Below are 10,180 nucleotides of genomic sequence, written 5' to 3' on the forward strand. Positions count from 1 at the left end.
CTGTTTGTTAGAAGGAAAACTAAGAAACAGAAAGGACATCCACACCAAAAACCCATCTGTACATTACCATCATCAAAGACCAAAAGTAGATAAAACCACAAAGATGGGGAAAAACAGAACAGAAAAACTGGAAACTCTAAAAAGCAGAGCGCCTCTCCTCCTCCAAAGGAACGCAGTTCCTCACCAGCAATGGAACAAAGCTGGACGGAGAATGACTTTGACGAGCTGAGAGAAGAAGGCTTCAGACGATCAAATTACTCTGAGCTACGGGAGGACATTCAAACCAAAGGCAAAGAGGTTGAAAACTTTGGGCCGGGCGCGGTGGCTCACGCCTGTAATCCCAGCACTTTGGGAGGCCGAGGCGGGTGGATCGTGAGGTCAGGAGATCGAGACCATCCTGGCTAACAAGGTGAAACCCCGTCTCTACTAAAAATACAAAAAATTAGCCGGGCGCGGTGGCGGGCGCCTGTAGTCCCAGCTACTCGGGAGGCTGAGGCAGGAGAATGGCGTGAACCCGGGAAGCGGAGCTTGCAGTGAGCCGAGATTGCGCCACTGCAGTCCGCAGTCTGGCCTGGGCGACAGAGCGAGACTCCGTCTAAAAAAAAAAAAAAAAAAAAAAAAAAAGAAAACTTTGAAAAAAATTTAGAAGAATGTATAACTAGAATAACCAATACAGAGAAGTGCTTAAAGGAGCTGATGGAGCTGAAAACCAAGGCTCGAGAACTACGTGAAGAATGCAGAAGCCTCAGGAGCTGATGCGATCAACTGGAAGAAAGGGTATCAGTGATGGAAGATGAAATGAATGAAATGAAGTGAGAAGGGAAGTTTAGAGAAAAAAGAATAAAAAGAAATGAGCAAAGCCTCCAAGAAATATGGGACTATGTGAAAAGACCAAATCTACGTCTGATTGGTGTACCTGAAAGTGATGGGGAGAATGGAACCAAGTTGGAAAACACTCTGCAGGATATTATCCAGGAGAACTTCCCCAATCTAGCAAGGCAGGCCAACGTTCAGATTCAGGAAATACAGAGAACGCCACAAAGATACTCCTCGAGAAGAGCAACTGCAAGACGCATAATTGTCAGATTCACCAAAGTTGAAATGAAGGAAAAAAATGTCAAGGGCAGCCAGAGAGAAAGGTCGGGTTACCCTCAAAGGGAAGCCCATCAGACTAACAGCGGATCTCTCGGCAGAAACCCTACAAGCCAGAAGAGAGTGGGGGCCAATATTCAACATTCTTAAAGAAAAGAATTTTCAACCCAGAATTTCATATCCAGCCAAACTAAGCTTCATAAGTGAGGGAGAAATAAAATCCTTTACAGACAAGCAAATGCTGAGAGATTGTGTCACCACCAGGCCTGCCCTAAAAGAGCTCCTGAAGGAAGCGCTAAACATGGAAAGGAACAACTGGTACCAGCCACTGCAAAATCATGCCAAAATGTAAAGACCATCGAGACTAGGAAAAAACTGCATCAACTAACGAGCAAAATAACCAGCTAGCATCCTAATGACAGGATCAAATTCACACATAACAATATTAACTTTAAATGTAAATGGACTAAATGCTCCAATTAAAAGATACAGACTGGCAAATTGGATAAAGAGTCAAGACCCATCAGTGTGCTGTAATCAGTAAACCCATCTCACGTGCAGAGACGCACATAGGCTCAAAATAAAAGGAGGGAGGAAAATCTACCAAGCAAGTTTCCTTCTGAAACTATTCCAATCAATAGAAAAAGAGGGAATCCTCCCTAACTCATTTTATGAGGCCAGCATCATCCTGATACCAAAGCCTGGCAGAGACACAACAAAAAAAGAGAATTTTAGACCAATATCCCTGATGAACATTGATTCAAAAATCCTCAATAAAATACTGGCAAAACCGAACCCAGCAGCACATCAAAAAGCTTATCCACCATGATCAAGTGGGCTTCATCCCTGGGATGCAAGGCTGGTTCAATATACGCAAATCAATAAATGTAATCCAGCATATAAACAGAGCCAAAGACAAAAACCACATGATTATCTCAATAGATGCAGAAAAGGCCTTTGACAAAATTCAACAACCCTTCATGCTAAAAACTCTCAATAAATTAGGTATTGATGGGACGTATTTCAAAATCATAAGAGCTATCTATGACAAACCCACAGCCAATATCATACTGAATGGGCAAAAACTGGAAGCATTCCCTTTGAAAACGGGCACAAGACAGGGATGCCCTCTCTCACCACTCCTATTCAACATAGTGTTGGAAGTTCTGGCCAGGGCAATTAGGCAGGAGAAGGAAATAAAGGGTATTCAATTAGGAAAAGAGGAAGTCAAATTGTCCCTGTTTGCAGATGACATGATTGTATATCTAGAAAACCCCATCATCTCAGCCCAAAATCTCCTTAAGCTGATAAGCAACTTCAGCAAAGTCCCAGGATACAAAATCAATGTACAAAAATCACAAGCATTCTTATACACCAACAACAGACAGAGAGCCAAATCATGAGTGAACTCCCATTCACAATTGCTTCAAAGAGAATAAAATACCTAGGAATCCAACTGACAAGGGATGTGAAGGACCTCTTCAAGGAGAACTACAAACCACTGCTCAAGGAAATAAAAGAGGATACAAACAAATGGAAGAACATTCCATGCTCATGGGTAGGAAGAATCAATATCGTGAAAATGGCCATACTGCCCAAGGTAATTTACAGATTCAATGCCATCCCCATCAAGCTACCAATGACTTTCTTCACAGAATTGGAAAAAACTACTTTAAAGTTCATATGGAAGCAAAAAAGAGCCCGCATCGCCAAGTAAATCCTAAGCCAAAAGAACAAAGCTGGAGGCATCACGCTACCTGACTTCAAACTATACTACAAGGCTACAGTAACCAAAACAGCATGGTACTGGTACCAAAACAGAGATATAGATCAATGGAACAGAACAGAGCCCTCAGAAATAATGCCGCATATCTACAACTATCTGATCTTTGACAAACCTGACAAAAAACAAGCAATGGGGAAAGGATTCCCTATTTAATAAATGGTGCTGGGAAAACTGGCTAGCCATATGTAGAAAGCTGAAACTGGATCCCTTCCTTACACCTTATACGAAAATCGATTCAAGATGGATTAAAGACTTAAATGTTAGACCTAAAACCATAAAAACCCTAGAAGAAAACCTAGGCATTACCATTCAGGACATAGGCATGGGCAAGGACTTCATGTCTAAAACACCAAAAACAATGGCAACAAAAGCCAAAATTGACAAATGGGATCTAATTAAACGAAAGAGCTTCTGCGCAGCAAAAGAAACTACCATTAGAGTGAACAGGCAACCTACAAAATGGGAGAAAATTTTCGCAACCTACTCATCTGACAAAGGGCTAATATCCAGAATCTACAATGAACTCAAACAAATTTACAAGAAAAAAACAACCCCATCAAAAAGTGGGCGAAGGACATCAACAGACACTACTCAAAAGAAGACATTTATGCAGCCAAAAAACACATGAAAAAATGCTCATCATCAGTGGCCATCAGAGAAATGCAAATCAAAACCACAATGAGATACCGTCTCACACCAGTTAGAATGGCAATCATTAAAAAGTCAGGAAACAACAGGTGCTGGAGAGGATGTGGAGAAATAGGAACACTTTTACACTGTTGGTGGGACTGTAAACTAGTTCAACCATTGTGGAAGTCAGTGTGGCGATTCCTCAGGGATCTAGAACTAGAAATACCATTTGACCCAGCCATCCCATTACTGGGTATATACCCAAAGGACTATAAATCATGCTGCTATAAAGACACATGCACATGTATGTTTATTGCAGCATTATTCACAATAGCAAAGACTTGGAACCAACCCAAATGTCCAACAATGATAGACTGGATTAAGAAAATGTGGCACATATACACCATGGAATACTATGCAGCCATAAAAAATGATGAGTTCATGTCCTTTGTAGGGACGTGGATGAAATTGGAAATCATCATTCTCAGTAAACTATCGCAAGAACAAAAAACCAAACACCGCATATTCTCACTCATAGATGGGAATTGAACAATGAGATCACATGGACACAGGAAGGGGAACATCACACTCTGGGGACTGTTGTGGGGTGGGGGCAGGGGGGAGGGATAGCATTGGGAGATATACCTAATGCTAGATGACAAGTTAGTGGGTGCAGCGCACCAGCATGGCACATGTATACATATGTAACTAACCTGCACAATGTGCACATGTACCCTAAAACTTAAAGTATAATAATAAAAGAAAAAAAAAATCCTATCAGCCAAAAAGAGCACTGGAGCAAATGGATTCACAGCTGAATTCTACCAGACATATAAAGAGGAACTGGTACTTATTTTACTGAGATTATCCCAAAAAACTGAGGAGGAGGGACTCCTAACTCATTCTATGAAGCCAGTTAGCACCCTGATACCAAAACCTGGCAAAGACACAATGAAAAAAACCTACAGGCCAACATCCCTAATGAACACAGTATTTCATTGAGGATTTTTGCATCTAACAAACTGAATCCAGCAGCACATCAAAAGTTAATCCACCATAAGCAAGTAGGCTTTACTCCTGGGCTGCAAGGTTAGTTTGACATATGCAAATCAATAAATGTGATTCACCACATAAACAGAACTAAAAACAAAAATCATACCATCCCAATAGACGTAGAAAGAGCCTTTGGGAAAATCCAACATCCCTTCATGTTAAAACTCTCAAGAAACTAGGCATAGAAGGAACACACCTGAAAAGAATAAGAGCCATTGATGGCAAACCCACAGCTTTAACATCATATTGAATGGGCGAAAGCTGGAAGCATTTACCATGAGAACTAGAACAACATAGGATGCCAACTTTCACCATTCCTATTAAACACAGTACTGGAAGTCTGTCAGTGCAATCAGGCCCAATAAAAAAATATAAAAAGCATACCAATAGGAAAAGAATAAGTCAGTCTCTCTTTCTGAATGATATGATTCTATACCTAGAAAACCCTAAAGACTCCATCAAAAGGCTCCTGGAATGGATAAACAACTTCAGCAAAGTTTCAGGATACAAAATCAATGTACAACAATCAGAAGCATTTCTATACACCAATAATGTTCAAGCTGAGAGCCAAATCAAGAATGCAATCCCATTTAGAATAGCCACACACACAAAATGAAATACCTAGGAATACATATAACCAATAAGTTGAAACATCTCTACAAAGAGTGCTACAAAACACTGCTGAAAGAAATCACAGATGAAACAAACAAATGGACAAACATTCCATGCTCAAAGGTTGGAAGAATCAGTATCATTACAACTGCCACACGTCCCAAAGCAGTCTGCAGATTCGTTGGTATTCCTATCAAACTATCAACATCACTTTTCACAGAAGTAGAAAAAACTATTCTAAAATTCGTATGGAACCCAAAGAGAGCCTGAATAGCCAAAGCAATCTTAAGCAAAAAGAACAAAGCTAGAGGCACCATGTTACTCAACTTCAAACTTTAAGACTACAGTAACCAAAAGAGCATGGTACTGGTACAAAAAAAGGCACACAGACCAAGTGAACATAATAGAGAACCCAGAAATAAAGCTGTGCACCTACAGCCATCTGATCTTCAACAATGTTGACAAAAGCAATGAGGAAAGATGCAATAAATGGTGCTAGGATACCTGGATAGCCATATGCAGAAGGATGGAACTGGACCCCCCCTATCTTTCACCATATAAAAAAATTAATTCAAGATGGATTAAAGACTTACTAAAATGTAAGACATCAAACTACCAGAATCTTGGAAGAAAACCTAGGAAACAGGATTTTAGACATCAGCATGGGAAAGATTTACGTCTAAGTCCTCAGAAGCAATTAAAGACCAATCTACAGAGTGGGAGAAAATATTCACCAACTATGCATCCAACAAAGGTCTAATATCTATAAGAAACTTAAACAGTTCAACGAGCAAAACACAACCCCATTAAAATGAGTGGGCAAAGGACATGCACAAACATTTCTCAAAAGAAAACATATGAGTGGCATACAAACATGAAAAAATGCTGAACATCACTAATTAGAGAAATGCGAACCAAAACCATAATGAGATACCATCTCACACCAGTCAAAATACCTATTATTAAAAAGTCCCAAAACAACAGATGCTGGTGAGGCTATGGAGAAAAGGGAATGCTTATATATTTTTGGTGGGAATGTAAATTAGTTCAGCCACTGTGTAAAGCAGTTTGGAGATTTCTCAAAGAACTTAAAACAGTACTACAACTTGACTGCAATTCCATCGCTGCGCAAGTACCCAAAGGAATGTAAGTCATTCTGCCATAAAGACACATGCACTCGTATGTTCACTGCAGCACTAGTCACAATAGCAAAGACACGGAATCAACCTAGATGCCAATCGACCATGAACTGGATAAAAAAAAGTGGTACATATACAACGTGGAGTACCACACAGCTATAAGAAGAACAAAGTCACATCCCTTGAAGAAACACGGATGCAGCTTAGGCCAAAATCCTGAGCAAATTAATGCAGCAACAGAAAACCAAATACCACACATTCTCACTTATAGGTGGGAGTTATAAGTGAATACCCATGGACATAAAGATGGCAACAATAGACACTGAGGACTAATAGAGGTGGGGAGGGTAAGAGGAGGGCAAGGGTTGGAAAATTAACTGTTGAGTACTGTGCTATCTGTTTTTGTTTTGTTTTGTTTTTTGAGACAGAGTCTCACTCCGTCACCCAGGCTGGAGGGCAGTGGCACGATCTTGGCTCACTGCAACCAACCTCTGCCTCCTGGGCTCAAGCGATTCTCATGCCTCAGCCTCCCGAGTAGCTGGGATTACAGATGTGTGCCACCACACTCGGCTAATTTTTGTATTTTTAGTAGAGAAGGGGTTTTGCCATGTTGGCCAGGCTGGTCTTGAACTCTTGGCCTGATGTGATCCCCTGCCTCAGCCTCCCAAAGCGCTGGGATTACAGGCATGAACCAACGCACCTGGCCTGTGCTATCTCGATGATGGGATCATTCATATTCCAAACCTAAGCATCATTCAATATACTCATGTAACAAATCTGTACATGCACCCCCGAATCTAAAATAAAAGTTGAAATTATTAAAGAAAAAAACCCAGAAACAAATTTTTTTTTTAGCAAACTAAGTAAAGAATACTGCCTCAACTTGATGAAGGGTAACTACCAGAAACCTACCTACACAGAACTTCATGCTTGATAAATATGGAAACAATACCATCACTTAGAATAAACAAAGGTTGTCCACTATACTGCTATTATTTAATATTATACAGGATATCCTGGCCAAAGCAATAAGCAAGAAAAGAACTAAGATAAAAATTGGAAAGGAGATGAAATTGTCATTATTTATGAATGGCTATAACCATCTACCTAGAAACCTCAAGAAAAATGAGCTAACTTGCAGAACCAGTAACAATATATTAAGGCAAGTTAGATATAAAAATCAATGTATAAAATTCAAATATACTTCCATTTATCATCAGTAACTCATTAGAATAATTCTAATAAAAAGATATTCACAATAGTAGAAATAATAACCTTAAATTACCTAGAATAAACTTAACAAAAGATATCCAAGACCTTAACATAGAAAACGCAGAATCTTGGCTAGGCATGGTTGCTCACACCTGTAATCCCAGCACTTTGGGAGGCCGAGGTGGGCAGATCACTGGAGGTCAGGAGTATGAGACCAGCCTGGCCAAAATGGCTAAATGCTGTCTCTACTAAAAATACAAAAATTAGCTGGTCATGGTGGTGTATGCCTGTAGTCCCAGCTACTCGGGAGGCTGAGGCCGGAGAATCGCTTGAACCCAGGAGGTGGAGGTTGCAGTGAGCCGACATTGCCCCACCACACTCCAGCCTGGGCGACAGAGTGATACTCCGATACTCTGTCTCAGAAAAAAAAATCATTTGCAGAAGATTCATAAATGGAGATTCATAAATGGACACAAAACTAAATGGAGACGTATACCATGTTTATGAAGGCAACGCCTCAAAACTGTACATGTCAATTCTCTCCAAATTTAACTGTAATATTAAAGCAAACCCAGTTGAAAAAATACCCTCAAGATTTTCATAGAACTATAAAACCTGATTCTAAAAGGGATATGGAAAATGTATATATAAACAGCCTGCAATTATGAAATGAAATTGAGTGGGGATATGTCTTAGCAAATATAAAAGACCTAATAAATCCTTAATAGCTGAAGTTGTGTTATCTTCACAGTAAAAGATAAACTTGAGGAGAAGGAGAGGGAATAGGGAGAATTTGAATTCAGTAGAAAGATAATTATTAATAAATTATGTTGAGACAATTGACTGTTCACTTAGAAAATACCAGGTTAGATCTTCACCTCATGCACAAAACTAAATACCAGATAAAGGTAAACAGGTAAAAAATAAAACTTTAAAGCTATTAAAAGAAAACATACAATATCTATTTCTTCAGAATGGGAAAGACCTTCATAAACAAATATAACCCCCCATGATTAATTTAGCAACAAAATTAAAACTACTATAATTAAAAAGACAATTGAAACTAAGTTAAAAGGCAACTGTTGGGGAGAGAGAAACTATCCATGATTTACATGATAGAAGATGTTACGTCTTTTACATCCTACAAATCCATGCAAAGATGATGAGCAACCCAATAGAGAAGTAGGGGAAAATATGACTATGAAATTCACATAAGAGGAAACTCAAGGTCTAACAGATACCTGGCAAGATGCTCTCGAGTAGTAATTACAAAGGGTAGGTTTTAAAAAATGAGATATTAAAAAACTCATGAGATTGGCAAATATGGAAATGTAAGGTAGTTCTGGAAATGGTATGGAGGCACTAGGAACTCTGGTGGGAGGGTAAATTTGTACAGCCACTTTGGAAGCGGATGAACAGTATGGCTGACTCAAGCCCCACCTATAATCCCATCTTCCTCCCTCATTTCCAGTAGAAGAAATTGGAGTCGGCTTTCAGGAAGGCTTTTTAAAAGAAATAGACCCAGCTGGCATTTCCCTTTGGCCTTGTTTATCTTCCCTTTTCTTCTTGCCTGTAATAATGCCTGAGGGTGCAGCCACCTTCTCAGAATCACGCGGTGAGAATCATTAGAATGAGGATCCAACAGAGCCGAAAGATGGGGCCAGTCCCTGATGTTACCACTGAGCTGCGTCATCCCACGTATGCCTACTTCCGGACCCCTTGTTACATGAAAACAACAAACTACTGTTCAAGGCACTGTTAATAATTTTTAAATGCGCAGCTGAATGCATGTCTGATACAGTAGTCCCTATTAAAATTCTAATTCCACTTCTGGATGTCTATCCTAGCAGCTCATTTCAACGTGGATGTAAGGAGATATATATATATAAGAGCATCCATGCCTGTGCTGTCTGATAAGGTGGCAAGCTAGAAACAAACGGAATAAACACCAATAAGGAAATGCCTTAATCTACCATGGTACATTTACACTATGGAATGCTGTTCAGCTGTTAAGAACTAGGTATATCTACCTTATCTGATGGCCATAAATAAGACATATTCTATGCCATCGTTGTTTGAGAAAGTAGCAATCATCTAGTGTTCTTACAAAGGCAAGCTCTAGGCCAGGCGCCACCCAGCTCACATACTGAGCCTCCTTCCTTGGCGCCAGTTGTGCCCTGAATGTGTGTCCAGGGTGGGGAATGGAAAGGCAGTCCAGGCGTTAGATCTACCAACTCAGATTTCACCTTTGCTGGTAGATGAGTCATGCCTATGCCTGGGAGACTGGCAGGGAAGTTGGGGAGGTACATGAAGCATAATCAGAGGTAGGTGGACAGCAGAAGTTAGGAAAGTTCTGATGTGGCACACAGGACTCTATCAACAGCTGGGGAACGACAGGTTTCTTGGGCAGCCTGGGGTAGGGGTGGGAGCTGGCAGTGCCACCTGTTCCTAACCTCTGTTCTTAATAGGGCTGGCCGAGGCAAAGCCATGTTATTTGTTTACTAGGTTTGAGGCAGTAAAATTACTGAAGTAATAACCACAACATTGTGAAGGACAATTGAAGGAGGTTGTTTGAGGCTGTTATCGACTCTATCACTAACACAATGACGGCTAAGTATAAGGAGAATTACCTATACTCAGGCATTTTAGATGGCTT

This window comes from Homo sapiens, chromosome 16, assembly GCF_000001405.40.
Source record: "Homo sapiens chromosome 16, GRCh38.p14 Primary Assembly".
NCBI classification, from domain to species: domain Eukaryota; kingdom Metazoa; phylum Chordata; class Mammalia; order Primates; family Hominidae; genus Homo; species Homo sapiens.